At 37.3% G+C, this 25,541-nt stretch overlaps 1 long non-coding RNA gene across 1 annotated transcript in view; it reads left to right on the top strand.

Moving 5' to 3' along the window:
- LOC105373150 (uncharacterized) overlaps positions 1–25,541 on the top strand; it is a 246,359-nt gene that overhangs the window by 200,477 nt on the left and 20,341 nt on the right. The window contains exons 4-5 of the long non-coding RNA NR_188591.1: positions 11,859–11,976; positions 22,132–22,275. This is a non-coding gene — a long non-coding RNA (uncharacterized LOC105373150). The remainder of the gene's footprint in view (positions 1–11,858; positions 11,977–22,131; positions 22,276–25,541) is intronic.

Genomic DNA, 25,541 nt, shown 5'->3' with positions numbered 1-25,541 from the left:
GTTCTAGATGCTTGAGGAATCGCCACACTGTCTTCCACAATGATTGAACTAATTTACACTCTCACCAACAGTGTAAAAGTGTTCCTATTTCTCCACATCCTCTCCAGCATCTGTTGTTTCCTGACTTTTTAATGATCGCCATTCTAACTGGCATGAGATGGTATCTCATTGTGGTTTTGATTTGCATTTCTCTAATGACCAGTGATGATGAGCTTTTTTTCATATGTTTGTTGGCCCCATAAATGTCTTCTTTTGAGAAGTGTCTGTTCATATCCTTTGCCCACTTTTTGATGGGGTTGTTTGTTTTTTTCTGGCTCCTTTAGCTCGGAGAAGTTTGTTATTACCCACCTTCTGAAGCCTACTTCTGTCAATTCGTCAAACTCATTCTCCCTCCAGTTTTGTTCCCTTGCTGGCAAGGAGTTGTAATCCTTTGGAGAAGAGGCATTCTGGTTTTTGGCATTTTCAGCCTTTTTGCGCTGGTTTTTCCTCATCTTCGTGGATTTATCTACCTTTGGTCTTTGCTGTTGGTGACCTTCGGATGGAGTTTTTGCTTGGTCATCTTTTGTGTTGATGTAGATGCTATTGCTTTCTGTTTGTTAGTTTTCCTTCTAACAGTCAGACCCCTCTTTTGCAGGTCTGCTGGAGTTTGCTGGGGGTCCACTGCAGACCCTGTTTGCCTGGGTATCACCAGCGGAGGCTGCAGAACAGCAAAGATTGCTGCCTGTTCTCTCCTCTGGAAGCTTCATCCCAGAGGGGCACCCACCAGATGCCAGCTGGAACTCTCCTGTATGAGATGTCTGTCGACCCCTGCTGGGAGGTGTCTCCTAGTCAGGAGGCTCGGGGGGTCACAGATCCACTTGAGGAGGCAGTCTGTCCTTTACCAGAGCTCAAGTGCTGTGCTGGGAGAGCTGCGGCTCTCTTCAGAGCCGGCAGGCAGGAATGTTTAAGTCTGCTGAAGCTGCGCCCACAGCTGTCCCTTCCCCCAGGTGCTCTGTCCCAGGGAGATGGGAGTTTTATCTATAAGCCCCTGACTGGGGCTGCTGCCTTTCTTTCAGAGATGCCCTGCCCAGAGAGAAGGAATCTAGAGAGGCAGTCTGGCTACAGTGGCTCTGCCAAGCTGAGATGGGCTCCACCCAGTCCTAACTGCCTCCGGGTTTGTTTACAGTGTGAAGGGAAAACCACCTACTCAAGCCTCAGTAATGGCAGATGCCCCTCTCCCCACCAAGCTAGAGCATCCCAGGTTGACTTCAGACTGCTGTGCTGGCAGCAGGAATTTCAAGCCAGTGGATCTTAGCTTGCTGGGGTCCTTGGGGGTGGGATCCGCTGAGCAAGACCACTTGGCTCCCTGGCTTCAGCCTTCTTTCCAGGGAAGTGAACGGTTCTGTCTTGCTGGCATTCCAGGCGCCAGTGGGGTATGAAAGAAAACTCCTGCAGCTAGCTTGGTGTCTGCCCAAACAGCCACCCAGTTTTGTGCTTGAAACCCAGGCCCCTTGTGGTGTAGACACCAGAGGGAATCTCCTGGTCTGTGGGTTGCGAAGACCATGGGCAAAGCATAATGTCTGGACCACATAGCACCATCCCTCACAGCACAGTCCCTCATGGCTTCCCTTGGCTAGGGGAGGGAGTTCCCTGACCCCTTGCACTTCCCAGGTGAGGCGACGCCCCACCCTGCTTCTGCTCATCCTCCATGGGCTGCACCCACTGTCTAACCAGTCCCAATGAGATAAATCGGGTACCTCAGTTGGAAATGCAGAAATTACCCACCTTCTGTGCCGGTCTCGCTGGGAGCTGCAGACCGGAGCTGTTCCTATTTGGCCATCTTGCCCAGGAATCTCTTCTTATTATTAAAACATATTTTGAGATAATTTTTGATTTTCTGTCCACCTTAATTTTAAACATTACACCATTGTAGTCAGAAAATATGGCTTTTTATTTTTTACATGCTGACATTTACTATGATTTTCTTTGTGGTCTACATATGCTTAATTTTAGTAGTTGCCTTATTGCCACTTAAAATTTTCATCAGTTCATATACAATAGTATATGGCATAGCAGATGCCAGTAGTGCCCTACTCATATTCCTCAGACCCGACAGTTTTCAGTGTGCCTCTTTAAACTTTGAACTACCAATGTCTGTGTCTCTCTGCCACAAAATTCTTTCTGAAATCTTACAAGGCTTTTCTGTTGCCATGCATCAGGCCAGAAGTTCCAGTGAATTAACAAATACCCAGAAACTCCCAACCAGTGACTGCTGGGATACAGTATATAAATACCCCAACTCTCTCCCACCTTGGGTGGAAAAATTTGGTCACACTTTACACCATTTCTCAGAATTTTTCCATATGATTAACTTGTGGTAGGTAGCTTAGTTATGTACAATTTATTGAATGTTTTCCCTTCCTATGTAATTTCCATGCCCTATGTTGTGTTCCTTTTCTTCTCTCATAAACAGATTTCAATGGAATTCTTGTCCTAGGTCCTGCTTCTGGGGGATTCAAAATAAGACAATACCAATCTTATTAATACTTTTTTTCTATTAAGTTCTAGGGTACATGTGCAGGATATGCAGATTTGTTACATAGGCAAATATGTACCATGATGCTTTGTTGCACCTATCAACCCATCACCTGGTGGAAGCCATTATCCTCGGCAAATTATTAACACATTTTTCAGATAAATTATGTGATTAACTACTCTAAAATATTATGTGAATTATTCATTAGCTGTTCATGGTGGGTTAAACTCTGTTTCTCATTCTTGTTACACTTAATTTTATTCTTCGGGGTTTTTGGGGGATTTTAGGTACAAGATTTGTTTTATTATGTGTTAAATTTGTATGGATACATAATATTTGTACATGTTTTGGGGGTACACGTGATATTTTGTTACATACATAGAATGTGTAATGATCAAGTCATGGCATTTAGGGCATTCATCACCTTGAGTACTTACCATTTCTATGTGTTAGAACCATCTCAAGCCTTCTCTTGTAGCTATTTCAAAATATATGATACACTGTTGTTAACTATAGCCACTCTACTCTGCTATCGAACATTAGAAATGTCCCCTCTATCTGACCTTATGTTTGTACCCATTAACCAACCTCTCTTTATTCCCCTACCCACACACCCTTCCCAGCCTCTCATATCTATTATTCTCCTTTCTACCTCCATGATAGCAACTTTCTTAATTTCCACATATGAGTGAGAATATGTGATATTTTTCTTTCTGTGCCTGGCTTATTTCACTTAACACAATAACCTAAAGTCCCATTCATGTTGCTGCAAAAAACGTGATTGTATTCTTTTCTATGGCCAAATAGTATTCCGTCGTGTATATTTACCACATTTTATTTATCCATTTGTCTATTGATGGACACTTAGATTGATTTCATATCTTTGCTATTGTGAATAGTGCTACCTTAAGTTTAAGATCTGAAACTATAAAACTACTAGAAGAAAACATAGGGGGAACACTTTAGAACAGTGGCCTAGACAAATATTTTTTGGCTAAGACTTCAAAAGCATAGGCATCAAAACCAAAAACAGACAAATGGGACCACATTAAATAAAAAGCATCTGCGCAGAAAAGAAAACAACAGAGTAATGACACAACCTACAGAATGGGAGAAAATATTCGCAAACTATTCATAGGACAAGGAACTAGCATCCCAAATATGCAAAGAACTCGAACAACTCAACAGATTAAAAAAAAAAAACATAATCCTATTAAAAAGTGGGCAAAGGACATGTATAGACATTTCTCAAAAGAAGACATACAAATGGCCAACAGGTATATGGAAAAAATGCTCAACATCACTAATTATCAGGGAAATGGAAGTCAAAACCACAATGAGATATCTTCTTACCCCAGTTAGAATGGCTATTAGTAGGAACAGATGTTGGCCAGGATGCAAAGAAAAGGGAACTCATACACCTGCTGGTAGGAATGCAAATTAGTATAGCTACTATGGAAAACAGGGTGGAGATTTCTCACAAAACTAAAAATAGAGTTACTGTAAGATCCAGAAATCCCACTACTGGGTATTTAGCCCTCCCCCAAAATAGAAAATCAGTATATATTTTAAAAAATACCTTCACCCTTATGCTTATTTCAGCTTATTTTTGACATTTTATTATTCAGAGCCTAAGTATTAATTACAAAGTTTCATTATCAATGTAGATGGTAATCAATATCACTATAATATACCCCTCTTTTTCTTGTTTAACAATTCTACATTGCCTAGGATTAATGTCATGGGACAACTCAATTCATACTTTTAAATCATTTTAGATACACCTATTAGATACAATATTTATTTGCCGGTGTTATTTGCTCAGCCTTTTATTTCTAATATGTGAACTTATCCCATTTCGATTTATTGATATATAAATATTTGGTCTTAGTTCTTTCATCTTATTTTATGCTATGTTTTACGTTCAATGCTTCCTTTGTTTTCTCTCTTCTGCTGTGGGAATTGTGTGAGTGCACGCTTCTTTGTTCAAGTATTTAGCTTTAGAACCTCAGGTGACTGATGATGCATTTTGAAAGATGGAAAGAACTTCTCCACTCTAGGTTGACAGGGGGTGAAAGTCCTTCCACAAACAGAGATTAATGTATACTCTTGCACAGCAAGCGAATGTTGTTCTAGAGAGAGTGAGAGTAGGTACAGCCTTAATGAAACACTAGTCCTCTCTCACTTACTGTCCCAGGGTGTGGGGGTGGGGATGGGTGGAGAGAATTTCTTTAAAGAAAAACACTGTAATGGGATCCTTTTAGCCCAGGCATTTAAATTCTTTGTGATTCGAAATACCTTAAGATATCAAATGTCCCACTTTTCCAGCCCTTTAAAATCTTACATAAAGTTTATTCAAAATGAAGTGCATCTTTTCCAGTTTTGAAAACTCCACTGAAGCTTTCCTTTTTGATGATTCTCACTTTCACTTTAAGAAGGGTGTAGGGATCTGGAGTGTTAATAATCATTGGCATGTTAAAGTCACTTGTCCATGGTTTTCCAGATAATTATAATAAAAACGATACTAATGATATCTGATGCATAGTGTTTACTATGTAACAAAAACTGGTCAATGTTATTTATGTACAGTAATTCATTTAGCCCTTATGAGTTACATGAGGATTCTATTATATTCAACTATGAGTTGTGTATTAATGCCGCTATAAATTTACATCTGAAAACACTGAGTAGCAGGAGGCTATATATCCTTCCCAGGGTCTTACATCCTTTGAATAGTAGAGCCAGGAGTTAAATTCATAATTCATGATACTTGGCTCCTGAAAGTACACTCTTTTTTATATTTATTTTTATTTTTTGGGTTAGAGTCTCTTGCTGTCACCCAGGCTGGAAGGCAGTGGCGCGATCTTGGCTCACTGCAACCTCCACCTCCTGGGTTCAAGCGATTCTCCTGCCTCAGCCTCACGAGAAGCTGGGATTACAGGCATGTGCCACCATGCCCGGCTAATTTTTGTATTTTTAGTAGAGACGGGGTTTCACCATGTTGGGTCAGGCTGGTCTTAAACTCCTAACCTCGTGATCTGCCCGCCTCAGCCTCCCAAAGTGCTGGGATTACAGGCATGAGCCACCGTGCCGGTACACTCTTAACCAGGACACTGCACGTCCTCAGACAGAAATCGTATTTTACAAATACTTATCTAGGAGACTAAGATAAAGTAAGCACATTTCACCCTAGTTCTCCTCAGTTATTACAACTAAAACCTGGATGAGACAAATGAAACAAACAGCAGAAGACTAAATGAAAAGTAGACAAAAGAAAGCAGACACATTTGAGGACTTGGATTCAAGGAAAGACACAGAATTGAGTTCCCTGGGCATTGTTTTCACCTTCTGTATATCCCAATCTGAGTGCAGGAAAAGTTCTCAACCAAGACGTGCTAACAGGTGCACAAAATAAATAAAACAACAGAAAAAAGAAAAAACAGAATAAGTCTGTTCTCTCTGGACAGGGGACTGGCAGAGCAATGGTTCTCAACCTAGGGTGATTTTGTACCCCAGGGGATGTTTGACAATGTCTGGAGACATTTCTACAGTGGGGGAGTTCTACTGCGATCTAGTGGGCAAAGGTCAGGAATGTTGTTCAACATCCTAAAATGAATAGAGCAACACAATGGCAATGAATCAACAGACCCCCAATAACAATAGTGTGAAGATTGAGAAACCCTATTCTAACTGGTCCAAGCCAGGGTCAGCAAACTATGGCCCTGTGAGCCAAATCCCTGTGAGCCAAATCCAGTCCACTACAATAAGTACAATAAGAACAATAGGTAGATCATTGATGGCACAGATAAGACCAGCAGAACTTTAAGCACCTGATTTGAAATGGTAACACATAATTCATATTTAGCATTGGACTCTTGAACCTTTTTCAGTAACTTAAAATATATATGTATATATACATATATACCTTAGCTTTTTAATTATTTTATTTTTATTGTCTTATTTGTACTGAAAAGCTTTGAATATGGCACTCAGACAAGTCATTTTGAACTCGTTTTTAAAGCTGTCATATTGTTTGATCGTTCCGTATGTCCTCACACCTAAAAGGTACTTATAGTTGAAATATAAAATATAATCCCACAAGCCTCACATGAAAATGTCCACTTATATGCATTCCATATGCTTAATAATTTTAAAATAATAGAAATTATGTTGTGTTTATAATGTTGATAAATAGCTTGGTTGTTCTGAAAATATTCAGTAATACTATTATTTGAAGCCTCTGGTTGAAACAAATTAGTTGATACTTGGTCATCCTTTGAATTAAAAAAAAATCTGGGCCGTGCTCGGTGGCTTACGCCTGTAATCCCGGCACTTTGGCAGACCGAGACGGGCGGATCACGAGGTCAGGAGATCGCAACCATCCTGGCTAACACGGTGAAACCCTGTCTCTACTAAAAATACAAAACATTAGCCTGGCATGGTGGCGGGCGCCTGTATTCCCAGCCACTCGGGAGGCTGAGGCAGGAGAATGGCGTGAACCCAGGAGGCAGAGCTTGCAGTGAGCTGAGATCGTGCCGCTGCACTCCAGCCTGGGTGACAGAGCGAGACTCCGTCTCAAAAAAAAAAAATCTGAAAATCTTGCTATTTGGGAGCAGCCAAGTCTATTGATACGTCAGTATTTTTATTGACATCAATAACTCCGTATTTAATTAGAAATTAACTTTTAATTAAAATGTATGTATTATTGCCCCTATGAGAACAAAATGTAGCATCATCTCCCTGGAATTAATAACTCTTAAATAGCTAAATTTATTATATTAAAAATGTTAATAAAGTTACAACATTACAAGTGAATGGACTCTCCAGAATTGCTGTAAAATAAAGAAGCCTTAGTAAAGATAATCCTACTAGAGTCTCCTGAAGAGTGAGCTTGGATATCTCATGATTGTGGTTCAAATAATGATCTGCTGACATTGAACAGTTCTTAAATGAAATAAGTTAACGTGCATCAAGAGAGATATCATGGTCCAGTAGAAATGTCTGCAATAAGGTGAGCATACAACATTAGGCAACCCACATTAAAATTTGTCATTTTGCAGATGATTTCTGTAGTGGAAACTGATTTTAGTATTATCCTCTTATCTATCTGTAACTGCAAAAACAATTTTAAATATTTATTTCACTGGAATTAAAATAACTTCTGCCTTAAAAAGAAATCTAAATCACGGAGCTTGTAAATAATTATATGAATATATAGTAAATCCAAACTGCTATTAAAATGTGATACAATTTTTGACTAACACACTTGTCTAATGGTTCTTTGAATGATTCCCCAAATTTAAGGGTTTTTTTCTAACTTTTCTTAAGATTATGCCCACGTTTTCAAGTTTAATGCTATAATCCTGTCTTTTTTTTCCCCTAGAGGAATACAGTGTCTTTTTATTGTGTTAATGTTTTTTTTGGTGGTTTCTACTCAGTATATCTTGTAAATAATATAGAAGATTCAAATACACATATATCAGGGATTAAACAGTTTGGATACTCCATTTTAAACATTAATGATTGTTGGTATCTATATAATTTCAAATGTAAACTGCATAACTTATAGAAAAGAATGGGAAAAAATACAATGGAACAATTAACCGAAAATGTTGATGTGATTGTTCTTAGACAAAGTGGGTTTAGCGGATGAATTGCTTCTAGAAGAAAAAAAAAAGGTTTATTCCAACATAATAATAGGCTGAATCCAAGAGGAAAATAATATAAACATCTTAACCTTTTGTTTATGTAATAACTTTTTTTTTAGCAAAAAAAGCAGGAAATGGTCAGGATGAAAAGGAGATTCAGGTAATTTAACTTACCTATCTCTGAAATTAATAGAACAAACAAGGAATAAAATATTAAGAAAGCAGAATATTTAAACAATATTGTCATAATTGACATAAAGAAAAGAACAGACCCAACAACTGCAGAGAACATATTCTCCTCAAGTATTACATTAAAAGTATTACATTAAAAGTATTACATTAAAAGTATTACATTAAAATCATAAAAATTGATTATTAATCAGGATTTGGTAATGGTCAAATACTAATACACAGCATGTTCTATGACAAGAGTGGAGTTAAACTAGAAGTCAGCTAGAAATTTTATTACCCCAAAAATGTTTTTGAATCATGCATTTTTAATATTTTGCATGCACAGTTAGTTTTGATTGTATGCTTGATTTTCTGTATGAAATAGTATAGAGGTAATTGGAAATCCTAGGTGATTTTATCTTCACTAGGTGATTTTATCTTCGTCCAGGGAGCATTTGTTTTTGCTAATGAGAGATAGTTAAGATGAGGGTAGTTCATCTCATAGCAATCAGGGATTGCGACCTTTTGAAGCTGGGCTTTAAGTTTTGTGAGGAGTTTTTTTTTATTTCTGATTCATATGGACCCTTAGGCCATAAACCCTCAGGGATGCCAAATGAACCCTTGGGGCATTTTCCAGGGCCTTGGAAGGCCCTGAATCCGTATATTGTTCCCTGGGGTGAGTGAGACTACTGAAGTCCTGCTCAACTGCTTAGCTCCTCAGCTACAGGTTTCTGCTTAGCCCTGTATGTTCTCAGTCACCTCTTTTGAATCAGCAAAAAGCTTGAAGGGAAAAGCAATATTACATTTTTTTCTCACCAGGTGAGTGACTCTTCTGACATCTTGTCCCTTCAAATCTTTGCATCCTTGGATTTCTGTCTTCAAACAGATGTCCTTGATTTTTTTTGTTTTTGTTTATCTAGATTTTCCCAGGAGGATGGTTGTTGAAACAGATTATTCTCCCATTACTGGAAGCAGATATCTTTACAAACCCTATTTTTTTTCTCTGAAATATGCTTTAGTTTGTAGCTTTTTATCCTTGAAGCCAATTAATACAAAATTAAGATCAATTTGTATTTAGGTACATGATACCATGATACTCACTGGCAGTGGATCTTTTTGTCATAATTTCCTTAAATTCTTTCAATTAATTTTATCATTTAATTGATTTAATAAATGTTTCTTTAGTACACTTGTGTCAGGTATGGGCCATATGCTAAAGATTCATTACAGATGTACCGTGTAGTGGGAAAACAGTGAAGTAAATAAGGTGTATATTTTTGCCATTAAAAGTAATGGCAAAAACCAGAATTACTTTTGCACCAACCTAAATACATATTCCTACATTAGCACATACTAATGAAACAAAATCATATAGTAGGCCTTAATGAAAGTATCAAGGATTTCAAGAAAATTATATCTAACAAATCACAATCTCAATTGAAGTTGTCAGTGATGTACTAAGCCCTGCAATATGTGATCATTTGTACATTGGAGATGTTCTTCTGGTCAAGACAGACTAGGTCAATCAGACCACTTCTTCCCTGAGTAGAACTTAAAAAGCAGGAAGAGGGAGACGGAGAGACAGAGGAAGACAGAAAGAAAATAAAAGGCAAGGTTAAGAATTCAGCAGAGAGCCACAAATTACAAAAAAAAAAAAAAAAGAAATACCCACCAGGTTTCATTTTGATGTACTTTGAAGTTCTTTCATCAGGTACTGAAATATTCAGGTTTATTGGTATTCATGTTAAATGGATCCTTTAATAATGAAATACCCCTTATTATCTCTAGTTATTACTCTTTTTCTTAAAGGCTACTTTTTTTCTAACATTAGTGTACCCATTCCAGCTGTTGATGAAAAGAGTCAAACTGTAAAATATTTGAAGATATTTATTTTGAGCCAAATGTGAGTGACCATGGCCTATGACACAGCCCTCAGGGGACCTCGAAAATATGTGCCCAAGGTGGTCCGGGCACAGCTTGGTTTTATAATTTTTCAGGAGACATAAGACATCAATCAAATACATTTAAGAAATACATTGCTTCAGCCCAGAAAGATAGGACAACTGGAGGGATCCAGGGCAGGATCATGGTGGGGAGTTCCAGGTTATAAGCAGATTTTAAAATTTTCTGATTGGCAATTAGTTGAAAGAGTTATCAGTAGAAAGGAACGTCTGGGTTATGATAAGGGGTTATGGAGACCAAGGTTTTATCATGCACATGAAGCCTGAAAGCAGCAGGCTTCAGAGAGAATAGATTGTAAATGTTTCTTATCAGACTTAAGTTCTGTGTTGAGCTTAAATGCTAGCCAGCTTTTCCTGAATTCCACAAGGGAGGGGGGCATAATGAGGTATGTCTGACACCTCCTTCCAGTCATGGCCTGAACCAGTCTTTCAGGTTAAATTTAGAGTGCCCTGGCAGAGGAGATAGTCCACTTAGATTGTTGCAGGAGGCCATCGAATTTTATTTTGGGTTTACATAGCTTTTTTTTTTTTTTTAGGTGGAGTCTCGCTCTGTCACCCAGGCTGGAGTGCAGTGCAGTGGTGCGATCTTGGCTCACTGCAAGCTCCGCCTCCTGGGTTCACGCCATTCTCCTGCCTCAGCCTCCCGAGTAGCTGGGACTACAGGCACCCGCCACCACGCCCAGCTAGTTTTTTGTATTTTTTAAGTAGAGACAGGGTTTCACCGTGTTAGCCAGGATGGTCTCGATCTCCTGACCTTGTGATCCGTCGCCTCGGCCTCTCAAAGTGCTGGGATTACAGGCGTGAGCCACTGCACCTGGCCTTACATAGTTTTTTAATGCTTACTTTTGTTTGCTGTCTTTTCCCATACTATTATTTTCAACCTAATTAGGTTTTAAATGTAAGTTGTCTTTCATATTAAGAGTCTACAATTGGAACTTGCTTTTTTTTCTTATCTGAAAATCTCTACTAAATTTTAATTGGGGTGTTTAGGCCTTATACAATTTAAAGTCATTATTAATAGTTTTTTTAAGTTGACTATCTTTCCCTTCATTTTATGTTTTTCTCTTTTAATTTGTTTCCTCTTTTATCACCACTTTTATGTTTATTGAAATTTTTTATTCAATTTAAGTTCTTCTATTGGATTTTTATCTGAGGCTAATTAAAAACATTTCTACACATTCTTTGACAACCTCTCCTTCAGAAGATGGGGTTGATGGCCCATCCCAGGATTCTGAGCCAATCTTAGTGACTCTCTTGTAACCAATTCAATAAAACAGTTGTGATGCTACATAAATTTCTAGGCCGAAATTACGACCTACTGTCATTACCTCTTGTCACCAGCAGAGGGCGCATCTTACCCTTCATGCATTTTCAAAGTTTGGTTTTTCACGTGTCATTTCCTGCAGCCTGTAGAGCTTCTGGGAGCAAGTAAATTACAGGTTGTTCAGAGACGAATTGCCTCAGGTCTGTTTATGTGCATATGTCTTATTCTCAGTTTCAAAGAATGGTCTTGTTCATATAGAACCCTGTGTTGACAATTTGTTTTCTTTTCTCTTTGTAAAGATTCAGCTCCATTTTCTCTGGTGGTAGATCTCCATGGATGCTATTGAGAAGGTACTTCTCAAAGTCCACGAGGACAAGGACATCTTTCCACCGAATGCCACCTGGTTTATAACAAAAGGTTTGTCATCATTTAAGTCATTGTTCACCTGTTGGTAATATGTCCTTATTTCTCTCGCAATATTGGTAGATAGACATTTGTTCACTTCATTAATATTCTTCATATTTCATGTATATGTCAAATACGTAGCATGCTAAAGTATTTCAAAATTTTATAGCTATTTTTAATTAAAATTATTTATATAAACTAATTAATTCATATAAATAAAATAATTTCACTGACAGTAAAAACAAAATTAAGCAGAGGAAAAGCTAGCATAAAAGTAACAGAAGCCAAAGAAATCCAGGTTTCTTTCTTATTATAATACAGATTTGAACAAATTATATAAAAAATTTAAAAATATAAGCATAGTTCTGAACAAAATATCAAAATATTAACCTTTTTTTCTTATAAATGGTGATGATGGTAATGTTGACCTGGATGAGAAATTATATAAGAGCACCCAAAATCTTCCATAAAGAAAATGAAGTGCCATTTGTATTAACTATGGCAAAAAACTTATATCTACAATAATTATGTAATATTTAATAACATTCAGCTTTGGCAAAGTATTTTATATACTTTATATAAGACAGTTCAAATCTGAATCAATACAGAAATAACTTATAGTACATAAATGAGAGTAAAAACAAAATATACATATATGTATGCTTAACATGTAACAATTTTGCTATTTCAAATAATGAATTCATAGCCAAGTTAACAAATGATATTAGTAAAAAGCATCAAAGATAGATACAAAAAGTATAAAAGAATGATAAGTGTATTAAATATGATTAAGATAAATTTTATATTTTTACCCTAGTATCAGAGTATGAAAGGAGTTTAAAATATTACTCTCTTTCTGGAAATAAATTTGATGATCCAGCAAAGTTTTAAAATTTGCATGCCTTTTGCATGTTAATTCTACTTCTAGGACTGTATTTGACACAACTAACTTAAATACATGCAAAAAAGTATCAATGCATAAAAGACAAAGCAGTTGTGAGATAAATTATAGCGCGTCCATATTGTGACTACTGTACAACTTTTATAATCTTTCAGGTAAATTTATTTATGTTTCTGAAAAGCATCTTCAAGTTACATTATCAATAAAAAGGGAAAATTATCAACTTCCAAATATGTGCCTAGATTTATAAATGTTATTTATGTAAATATATGTATATGTTTGCATTTGGTAATATACACATTTGATGGCTAATTATGGTTATTTTGCAAAGAAATATTTGCTTGTTTTGGAAGTTTTACACAGAGCACATGCCATATTCGTAATTAATAAAAGTCAAAGAAATAGAGACATGATGGCATATTACTAAAGGTTGTTTTGAAATATTTATGATCTTTCTTTAGTACTATAGACATAAAAGTTTAAATGGTAATTTATATATGGCAATTTCATGTAAATGGATATATACAATATGTAGTCCAGTTTGCTTCCTTCACTTGGAAAAATGTATTTGAAGTCTGTACATGCTTTTGTGTGTATGAGAAAATCAGTTCCTTTTCATCGGTGAATCCGAATTCTATTGTATAGTTATAGTTATACCACATATTGTTTACTCATTTACCAAATGATGGACATTTTGGTTCTTTCCACATTTTTAGTGTTGTAATTAAAGTGGCCATGAACATATTTTTTAGATGTCTTTGTATGAACATAAGCTTTCATTTCTCTGGAGTAAATAGAAGGGCTAGAAGTAGAAGGTCTGGATCATATGGCGGTGTGTGTTTAACTTATTAAGAAACTGCCAAAATGTTTTTCAAAGTCCTGTACCATTTTTCAGCCCTAATATCAGTGTATGAAGTACCAGTTGCTTCACATCCGTGCCAGCTTTTGGTTTTGTGACACTTTTTAATTGCAGACATTATACAAGGCGTGAATTGGTATCTGAATTGTGGATTTTATTTGTATCTTTCTGAGGAGTAAAAATGTTGGGAACTTATTCATGAGCTTATTGAATATCTTTTACTGAAATATTTAACCATGAAAATTGTCCAGTATTTTAGTTGTCATTTTAGTATCAAGTGGAATTATTCTTTATGTATTCTAGATACAAGCTCTTTGTTCAGGTAAATGTATTGTTAGTATTTTCTCTAGGTTTATGACTTGTCTTTCATTTCTTGAATTTTGGTAAAAGTTCTTTTTTATATTTGATAAAATACAATTTATCTTTTCTTTTTGTATTCTAAGAAATCTTTCCCTACAGCAAGGACTGAAATATTTTATCCTGTAAGTTTTATACATTTTGCTTTTATATTGAAGCCTAAGATCCATTTTGAATAAATTTGTGTAGTGTAAGATTGGTGTCCAGGTACATTTTTCCATTTGGTTATTCAATTGTTACAGTGCTTTTTAAAACAACTCTTCTTTATTCCCTTAGATTAGCTTGGCACGCATGTCCAAAATTCATTGGCCATATTTCTGGACTTTTTATTGTGTTTAATTAAATGTTTATTAAATGCCTTGCGGTAGTCTTCTTTGGGTTAAATCTACTTAGTGTTCTATAACCTTCTTATACTTGGATATTGATATCTTTCTCTAGGTTTGGGAAGTTCTTTGTTATTATCCCTTGGAATAAACTTTGTACCGCCATCTCTCTCTTTACCATCTCTTTAAGGCCAATACCTCTTAGAGTTTCCCTTTTTAGGCTGTTTTCTAGATCTTGTAGGCATGCTTTATTCTTCTTTATTCTTTTGTCTCCTCTGACTGTCGTTTCAAATAGCCTGTCTTTAAGCTCACTAATTCTTCCTTCTGCTTAATCAATTCTGCTGTTAAGAGACACTGATGCAATCTTCAGTATGTCAATTGCATTTCTCAAAGAATTCTGCTTCATTCTTTTTATATTTCAATCTTTTTGTTAAATTTATCTGATATAATTCTGAATTCCTTCTCTATGTTATGTTTCATTTCGTTGAGCTTCCTCAAAACAGATATTTTCAGTTGTTCTTGTGAAAGGTCACATATCTGTGTCTCTCTGGGCTTGGTCACTGGTGCTTTATTTAGTTCATTTGGCAAGGACATGCTTTCCTGGATAGTCTTGAGGCTTGTGGATGTTCTTTAGTGTCTGAGCATTGAAGAATTGGGTATCTTTGTATTCTTTGTATTTTTGGGAAAGCTTTCCAGATATTCAAAGGGACGTTTTTGTGACCTAAGTCTTTGGTCACTGAAGCAGTATCTGCATTAGTGAGCACCCCAAACACAGTAATACTGTGGCTCTTGCAATCTTATAGAGGCATTGCTTTGGTATTCTTGATTAAGATCCAGGAAAATTCCCTGGATTAGCAGACAAACACTCTTGTTTTCTTCCCTTACTTTCTCCCAAACAAACAGAGTCTCTCTCTGTGCTGAGCTGGCTGGAACTGTGGAAGGGGTAACACGATCACCCCTGTGGCCACCACCACTGGGACTGCATTGGTTCATACTAAAAGCCAGCACAGCACTGGGTCTCACCCAAGGCCCACAGTCACCACTGCCTGGCTACCATTTATGTTCACTCAAGGCCCAAGGGCTCTACAATCAGCAACTGGAGAATCCAACCATGCTTGTGTACTTCCCCTCAGGGCAGCTAGTTCACCCTGGACCTAGGCAGGTCCAGAGATGTCACCCAGGAGCCAGGTCCTGGAGTTGGTAACCCTAGGTATCTACCTGGTGCTCTATTCTACTGTGGCTGAGCTGGCACTCAGGCTGCAAGACAAATTCCTTCCCGTTTTTGCCTCCCATTTCCTCAAGCAGAGGAGTCTCTCCCCAGGGCTACCACCATCCCCATCCCATGGTGAGTACTGCTTGACTACAACCGTTTACTCAAGGTCCAAGGGTTCTTCACTCAGCTTGCGGTGAGTGCTCCCAGGCTTGGGACTCTCCCTTCAGGGTAGCAGGGGCTTCTCACAGGCCTTGAAAAGGTCCAGAAATGCCATCCAGGAGCCAAGGTCTGGAATTGGGAATCCCACAAGCACTTCTGGTATTCTACCCTATTGCAGCTGAGCCGGTACCTAATCTGATTTTTGGTTCTTATGAAAGTGTTTTTTTGTGTGGATAGCATTCAATTTGGTGATTCCATTGGAGGATTCTATTTGCCCATCTTGCTCTGCCTCCCTTAGAGTCAGACACCTTTAAAAGATCTGAAAAGAAACATGTACCATGTATTATCTCTGAGGGAAGCTTCATCTACATAACAAGGCCACCTTTGCTAGCCAAGCTTCTTTCTTTCTCTTTCTCTTAACCTGTCTTGCCTTTAAATCTGATTTACCTGTTTCTGGCCATGCTCTGAGTCTCCATTCTTTACTGTGGCCTCAGGATGGTATATAAGTTTCTGTAACTCTTTGGGACATTGGTTCATCATTCTGAAGGCTCCTGTGTATACAGGTTAAATGTGTGTGCCTTTTCTCCTATTAATCAATCTACCTCATGTCAGTGATTTTTAGCAAACCTTTAGGGGGCCAAGAACGTATGGCTCCCACAAGGTGAAATGTTTTGATTTCGTTAACATCAGTTGAAATAATCAGGGCTTGAAGAAGGAACAGATTATGAAATAAAGATAGGGCCCTCTACACTGTCCAAAAGTGACCTAAGCTCAGCAACAAAGCATTATTTTCTTCACAGGTTTCAACAAGGATATATTTTATCCCCTCTAAATTTTACCTGCCTCTAATAGTTAGCAATTATTTCCTGGGCATTCATCTTAGATTGTTGCTAAGCAATGAACATAAGCTTGTATCTTCTCATTTTACAATTTGCTACATAGAATTTCTTGCATGACTCTGCCAAAATATTGCTTTTCATTTAAAAAATTTATTAAGTATGCTTATCTTATGTAGGATTTAATGTAATTTTCTGTGTAATACAGTCTTTAAAGAGAGAAAATGAAATTTGTTGGGCCATTGACTTTTATGGAATTTGTTCAATTTGTAATCACATTTTCAGTATGGAAACAAACACACCCACGTGCTCGCATGCGCACACACACACACACACACACACACACACACACTGAATTAGATTTAAAAAAAAGTAGGCCTTATCACCACTAAGACAAATGGTTCATCTGATTTGATTCAGCTCATTTTCCTGGAAGAGATGCCTGCTGGGAACTGGATCTTTTCTAGTTTTGAATGCACCAAAATACCAATTATGAATACTGGTATAGCATTTTGTAATCATATTTGTAGTTTATTTTCTATTTTATAAACTTGCTATAGTTTATTTTTCTATGGATTACTTAAGCCATGCAGAGTTGTTGGTGTACTGGAAATAATATTTACCTGTGTAGGGGCCAAAGGCTTGGCTCTCTGAAGGTTCACTGAAAAATCAAATTGCAAAAGGCAGATTAATTGGAGAAAAAATACAAATGTACTTAACATGTATGCACGGGAGCCTTCAGAATGAAGACTCAAAGATACAGAGGAAATTATTCATTTTTATGCTTAGGCTCAACAAAGTATAGACAGCTGTGTTGAAATATGATTGGACAAAAAAGATGATCTAATGCCAATAGGCTAGTGGGAAAATCCAACAAGGACTGTCTAGATTCTTCTTGGCCTCTCTGAGCATGCATTTTTTCTTTCTGGATAAGGGGCAGACCCTTTTCTGGAATGTAGGTCTTTTGACCTACAGTAAAAAAAAATGGGTCAGATAATTTATTTATAGCCAGTTTTTACACAGAAAGGCAGAGGGAAATTAAAGAGTCATATTTTTAGATTTTATGACTAGCTTTGGGGAAAAGGGGTTCTGGTTTCTATGACCTGCCTTGAGGAAGAAGGATTCTAGTTTCTATGGCTAGCCCTGGGGGAGAAAGGGACTGAGACACAGGAGGACAGGACAAGGTCATAGGAAAGCTTTTGTTTCTCAGGCTGCTTCTGAAGCTTTCCTTTTGGGGTATTGTTTTCTGAGGCCCAGCACCTGCAATCGCAGTAAAAGGGTCCAAACCTAGGATTGAGGTTTAAAGAGTTTTTGAGCAAGTAATTAAATTTCTGCAAGCCTCAACTAACTGTACTGGCAAAATGAAGATAATTATCCTGTCTCATAATCCTGAGAAAATGTCAAAATCACCAGCCAGCGTACTATGATCAAGGTCCTCTTCCTAGAACAGAGAAACATCTTTTTGCCTTTCCCCCTATTTTAATTGTTCTAACAATATTCTTTCTATGCCATTCCCAAGTCTGAGTCTTGGCTATAGCAGTTATAAGAAAAATCTCTCACATTTCCTTAGAGTTTATTTGGTTTTTTAAAAATATTATTAGGTAGAAGGGCATTTTAACCTTAAGTATATATTTTAAAAGGTTATCCTTCTGTAGGTTTTATTATCATGCTTTCTTTGCATCACAGACCAAGTCACTCTATTTGTCTTTATCTTTGTAATTTGCACAGTGACATTCTCTAAGATTCAAAGTGAACTTAAAATTTTTAAGAAACCAAATTTATTTTAATGTATTTAGACTTTTATAGTTTTCTCTTCCAATCTGTTGCTCAAATATTTACAATATGACAGTCATATTTATGGTTTTTTAACTATTTATCTCTTTAAAACAAAATATGTATGTTGGTATCTTAAAAGTAAATAGTATTGTTTCCTATAGTCAACTATTTATTCTAGTATTATTTAATAAATAATATATCTGCCTACTGAACTGAGGGTTTTACATAGATTGTAAAATTGTATGTATACTAGGGTTTATTTCTGGGCTAACTCTTCCATTTTATTATTCTATTTATGTACCATTGCCATACTTCTGTTTGTATTAGATAATAAATTTAGCATTTGTTGGCCAAGATTGCTAGAAATCTTAATTTCCAAAATTCTATTATGATTGCATTGTTCTTTATTCCGCCCCATGCCTTTTGGAGTCATTTTGGTTAATGAGAAGGTAATCTTATTAGGACCAAACTGCACACATTTCAAAATAGATATTTGTGGAGCAAATTGGTCAGCAGGGGTAGGAAAGGGCAGGGAAACACCACTTTTTGGAAAAATATTCTGTTCCTCATTTTTGTGCTAGGCCTTCTTCCATAGGAAAATAATATACAACTTTAACAATATAGGTTTTTTTCCTAAATACATTAATGAATGAAATATTGCACTTGCCAAGATCAGATACAAATCTAAATACATTACTCCATTACTTAGGTCATTATGATTGTATCTCTTTCAATGGTCTTTTAAGAATAAGGATAAAGAATTAAACTATGTTATTGTTTTGGCAATTACATTGTGGCTCCTAACTGTTTCACCATTCTGAATCTGATGCATGACGATTTCTAAATGTAATCTAAATATAATATAAGAGTTACACTTTATATTCAGCAAAGAAACACTTACATTTATTAAAATGAAATCAGTGGCTGGGCATGGTGGCTCACGCCTGTAATCCCAGCACTTTGGGACACCAAAGTGGGAAGATCACTTGAGGTCAGGAGTTCGAGACCAGCCTGGCCAACATGGTGAAATCTCATCTCTACTAAAAATACAAAAATTAACCGGGCATGATGGCGCACACCTGTAGTCCTAGCTACTCAGGAGGCTGAGGCAGTAGAATTACTTGAACACAGGAGGTGGAGGTTGCAGTGAGCCGAGATTGTGCCACTGCACTCCAGCCTGGGTGACAGAGAGAGACTCTGTCTCAAAATTAAATAAATAAATAAATAAAATAAAAATAAAATGAAATCAGTGAGTGACAGTTCCCTTTGAAGTTCACTTAAATGTTGCCCTTTTCTCTGTCAGTGAGACAATTATCACTCAATTAACACTCAGTGAGTGAAACAGTGTTAAAAGGGAAAAAATGATAAATCAAAAGAGGGTTCTGCTTAAAGAATACTTTAAATTGTAATAATTCTGCATAAATAATTTTAATGCATATTAAAGTGTTGTGAGTACCTAAGTGAGTCACTGGGTATGATGGAACATTAGAAGAGGGAGAAATTACTGTCATATGTAGCAGTCTGGTGTGACTTCATGTTTGACGTGATATCTGAACTACACCTTGACAGATGACTTAGATTTGCGGTTGATGAGAGGGCATTACTGAAGGGTTGAGACAAAGTTATTGAGGTGTGAAGACTCTGTATATGTTCAGAGAATACTTGGTAATTTGTTGTCTGGAACATAGAGTGTGTGAGAAAAAAAACAGTAGGAAATAATTTTGGAAAGACAATTGGAAACCAGATGGCAGAATATAGATTTTTTGTTGTTGTTGTTGATTTGGGACCCATAAAGTATTGTTTTTAAAGGCATTGGTAGGAGTGGTACCATGCTTTAGAAAGGTTACAAACATTATTTCACTAGTTAAGCAGTTAGGCTGGATACTTGTAGTTCTATTGAGATTCTAGGATTCTAAAATCTGAAATCACCAGATTCAGAACAGTCTAGATAATGTTAATTTAACCAATGATCAGAAAAGTTCATCCACTAAGCCATTTCTACCTTTGTGCTATAATGTTCGATGTCAAATTCATGTTTTTCCTTATCCTTCCTTTGTTTAATGAAAGATGTTAATATCCTTTAAAGGAGTTAACTGAACTATATAATCCTGGTCTTGTAAACTATTAGAATAACAAATGTGATATGAGATATTAAAAAGTTTTCTATAGCATTACAATAATCCTAAAATATCATGTCATTTGAACAGAAATTTGAGTTAAATTTGCTTCATATATTACATTTTTTTCCTCAGTATAGCTACAAGTCAATGTGCCTTCAAGATATCCCCAGATTAAGGAATTTAATTTAATGTTTAGCTGATTTGATGTTTCACATGAAATTATTAGTTTTATTTAATTTTTTTAAAAAATCTGTACTTAAAATCTAAACTCAACTTTGTCATGTGCTTTATTTATTGAATTATTGAGACACACGGTTGATATTCATTTTGACAGACACTGAAAATGTAAATGAAGTCAACTCAATAATTAACTGGGGTGCTCATGCATTAAAAGAAGTGACTAAAGAAGTCGCAAAATCTAGTTGTAACTGCTTATGGTTCATTACTGGAAACCAAATCAGTTCTTAGTGACATGTAATCTTGTTATGTTTTTATAGCTCATGTATAATTTTTATTAAAAACCAAATGTCTATAACAGCACAATTATCAATTTTGTTTAGAAACTAACGTTAACTGCCATATGAATGCCTATAGCATAGTAATTTGGGAAACTGACAGCAATCAGGCTTAGTAATTCTTAGAATATCAGGAGATTTTCAGCGTTTAATGTTTATCAATGTTGTAGGTGCAAGCTTGTAGAATATATACTTGACTATTGGTGTCTTCACAGTTGAGATGCTAACATATGGAAATATATGAGAATTATATAGGACCTTGTAATGGATTGAATACAATAGATGAGAGAGTGTATTAATCTTGACCCCTAGATTTTGGCTTGCATAACAAAATGGCTTGGTGACCGCCAATCACGGAAATAGCAGTGAGTATGAGAAAAACAGAGCTGAGAGATAAAAATATCAATTTTGCATTTACATATTATTCATATGATTTTGGAATACCTTTTATTCAACTGGGTGGAGATGGCAAGAATCCCATTGGATACTGAGATGTGGAGTTCAGAATAGAGGTCTGTGACAGGGAGATATATTTTGGGAGTTACCAGTATATAAATTGCCAATTGAAGCATGGAAATAAACCAGACTTCTCAAGAAAACTGTGAAGAACACAAGAAGAAATTGGTGTCCTGGGATTGAGGCATGGTGTATTTTATCATTTAGTGCCCCAGTAAAGGAGATTGATTGTGAAAATGAGACCAGGAAAGGGCAGCTAAAAAATATAATGACATTTAGAAGGTGTGTCATAGCAGTTACAGGATCAAAATCTTTAAAAGTGCTACTGAGATTAGGAAGATTGACGAATGATAATGACAATGATATTTAACATTTATTGAGTGATTATTATTTTCTGGGTACTAAGTGTTTTACCTGGATTGATTCAATAGTACTCAAAAACACCATAAGGGTGAATACTATGATCTTCATTTTACAGATGAAGAAAATAAGGCTTAGAAAAGGTAAGAAATATACCCAAATTAACGCAAGTAGTAATTAGTGCATGTAGGTTTGGAATGCAGACAATATGGGTCCAGAGACTATACTCTTAGCCTATATGCTATATTCCATTAAAATGGTCTGAAAAATATTCCTTGATTTTTTCCCTAAGCATGAAAAACAAACAGGAATTTCTCAATGCAGAAAGGACTGAAGCTGTCAAAGGTGTGCTTTTTTTCTGCACAAACAAGTTTCCATTGAATGATAGAATAAAGAGATACTGACTTCCCCGGAGCCTCCAAACTTGAGTAGTCAGGTAAGGATCCTTGAGTAACAAGACAGCAAAGTAAGTATTATCCCTCCTGGGATTTTGGTTGGTTACAACATTGTGTTGAGTATTTGCATTCCATTTTTCCCTTGGGGAATTACACTTTCTGAGACCTCAATTTAGGAGGCTTAAGTGAAGATAATCCATCCCCAGTTACACTTGGCCTGCATAAACCAAGCAGATCAAAAAGAGTGCTATGTTCATTACTCAATGAATTGGTCGATATTGGCTTCCTTGATATATAAAACTCCATTAGTCAAAAATATCTTCTAAATCTAATGCCTTGCTTTACTCCAAAAGGCTGATTCTTTGCTACGGCCCTAATCTGTGGAAATTGCAATGTTATTTTTCTGGACTATTATGGCATATTTAAGCCAAGAACATGGGGTCAAGGATACCTCTGCAGATGTTGTTCTGGATTTCAGGCAACGGTCTGGAAATTTTAAGTAACTCTCGTGTTATTTGAATTAGGTAAAGCGTGTTCACATTTGGACAGCATTTATTCTTTGGTGTACCAGGGATCCCCAAGACCACTCTCAGGATAGATGATTTGTTAGAAGAATTCACAGAACCCAGAAAAGCTATTATAAGTTGGACATGATGGCTTGCACCTATAGGCCTAGCTACTTGGGAAGCTGAGATGAGAGGATTCCTGGAGCCAAGGAGTTTGAGGCTGCAGTGAACTATGATCAGGCCACTGCACTCCAGCCTGAGTGACAGAGCAAGACCCCATGTGCAAAAATAAAAATAAATAACAAAGAATAAACAAAAGCTATTATACTCATAATTACAGTTTTTTACAGCAAAAGGGTATACATTAAAATCAGCAAAGGGAAAAGGCACATAGGGAGAGAGTCCAAAAGAAACCAGACTGAAGCTTCCAGCTATCCTCTCCCTGCGGAGTTATATGAACAGTGTTTAATTCTTCCAGCACGTGATGTGTGACACAGTACATGCAAAGTGTTACCAGCCTTGGTCATAGAGCCATGGAGGGTCTGGATCATTGACCTTTGCTACTCAGTTCCAGCCCCCACAGAGGTCAAAATGATACAACATGTCCTAAAGTGCCAAGCATACAAAAGCAGATATTTAGCATGAAGCACATATTTAGCATAAACTATCTGGTGTGCCCCAGATAGTTTCTACTAAAAATACAAAAAATTAGCCAGGTGTGGTGGCGCGCACCTGTAATCCCAGCTACTCGGGAAGTTGAAGCAGGAGAATCGCTTGAACCCAGGAGGTGGAGGTTGCAGTGAGCTGAGATTGTGCCACTGCACTCCAGCCTGGGCGACAAGAGCGAGACTCCATCTCAAAAAAAAAAAAAGTCTCATCCCAAATTTTATTAAAATTATTTTACTTGCAATTGACAATTATTTCCATGCCATGGATAAAATGTCTGACTTGCATAAATAGGTCCTCTCCTTTTTGGGAAAGTACTTGTACTTGGAGTGACATATTACCCGTGTTATATCTGTGGGAGGTCTTTTCTTGAGATTTCTGGAAAGACAAGGACCTTTCCCACTGCATTTAGTATAGTTGGGCAAGCTGGGTCTAGGGCAATATTTCTCAAATGTAATGCAAACTAGATTTGCTAGGGAGCTTGAAAACAGCTATTGTCCTGATATCACCTCACCTCAATTTATCCATAATCCATGACTGAAAAACTTTGTTTTGGCTGGGTGCGGTGGCTCATGCCTGCAATCCCAGAACTTTGGGAGGCCAAGGCAGGCGGATCACCTGAGGTCGGGAGTTTGAGACCAGCCTGACCAATATGGAGAAACCCCATCTCTACTAGAAATATAAAATTAGCTGGGCGTGTTGGTGCATGCCTGTAATCCCAGCTACTTGGGAGGCTGAGGCAGGAGAACCTGGGAGGCAGAGGTTGTAGTGAGCCGAGATCGTGCCATTGCATTCCAACCTGGGCAACAAGAGCAAAACTCCATCTCAAAAAAAAAAAAAAGGAAAGAAGAGAAAGAAAAACTTTGTTTCAATTGTTTTTTTGTTTGTTTGTTTTGAGACAGAGTCTTGCTCTGTCGCCCAGGCTGGAGTGCAATGGTGCGATCTTGGCTCACTGCAGCCTCCGCCCCCTGGGCTCAAGCCATTCTCCTGCCTCAGCCTCCTGAGTAGTTGGGACTATAGGTGCCCACTACCATGCCTGGCTAATTTTGTATTTTTAGTAAAGATGGGGTTTCACCATGTTGGCCAGGCTGGTCTCAAACTCCCGACCTCAGATGATCCGACCGCCTCCACCACCCAAAGTGCTGGGATTACAGGCGTAAGCCACTGTGCTGACCTCAATTGTTTTTCAATTATCTGATGGAGAAGTCATTTTAAAGGATGTAATGAGTAGCAGTGGTTCATTACCATTTTCACATTTTGACAGAGTGTGGGTTCCATGGAAGACTCAATAAATTTAGATTGGTGTCCCTACCTCAAATTCAGTTTGCTATTGTGTTGGTGAGGATAGGTTGTGTTGAGAAACTGCGTCTCTAACAAGTGCACAGGTGGTGCTGCTCAAGGACCGCCCTCAGGGAACCAGTGCTCCACTGTGAGGAAAGGTATGAGTATGCTGGCTAGAAGTCTGCTCTGCTGTGACTAGTGAGAATCATGAAAAGACTTAATTTGGTTTTTGTTCCCTTTTTAAGGATGGAATTCTCAGGTAGTAGAGCCTTTGTAGGTCCCATGGGTGACTGGCCACCTGGGAAGTTTCATTTCTGTGCAGATCCCAGGCTGTATCACTGATGCTGGATAAGGATAACATTTTGTGAACCACTGCTCTAGCCTGCCCTCTGTCCTTTGAACACTTTCAACTAAAGGTGATCTTTGCTTACTGTAACTAACAGTGAGAACTAAATAGATAGTTTTACTAACTCGTTATATTTTTCAACTCTTTTCAGCTTCATTGCATAAGTTATTAAAATATGTATCATCTACCATAAAAGAAAATACTCAGAATAGAATAACTTTCCAGAGGCATCAAGACCAATAGGAAACAGAGCTCAGTATTAGAACCCAAAAGAGGCAGATTCCAAGCTTCTACTCTTCAGCAGGATGAATTGGAGATTTCAGGCCAGGTGGAGGTGCCAGCCACGTGTTCTTCTCGCAAGTGAACATTTTCTGGAATGTGAATCAGATCACACAGCAGTATGCAGCCACCACTGCTTTGCAGTTGTTCCAGACCTATTTCCTCACCTGTTGAGATGGATGTGACCTGTACCCATAATGTCTATAATTAGAAGTTTTTCAGTGAGCAT

The sequence above is a fragment of the Homo sapiens genome, chromosome X, assembly GCF_000001405.40.
Source record: "Homo sapiens chromosome X, GRCh38.p14 Primary Assembly".
Lineage (NCBI taxonomy): Eukaryota > Metazoa > Chordata > Mammalia > Primates > Hominidae > Homo > Homo sapiens.
Note: the sequence above shows the minus strand (reverse complement) of the source record. Positions and strands in the feature narration are given on the sequence as shown.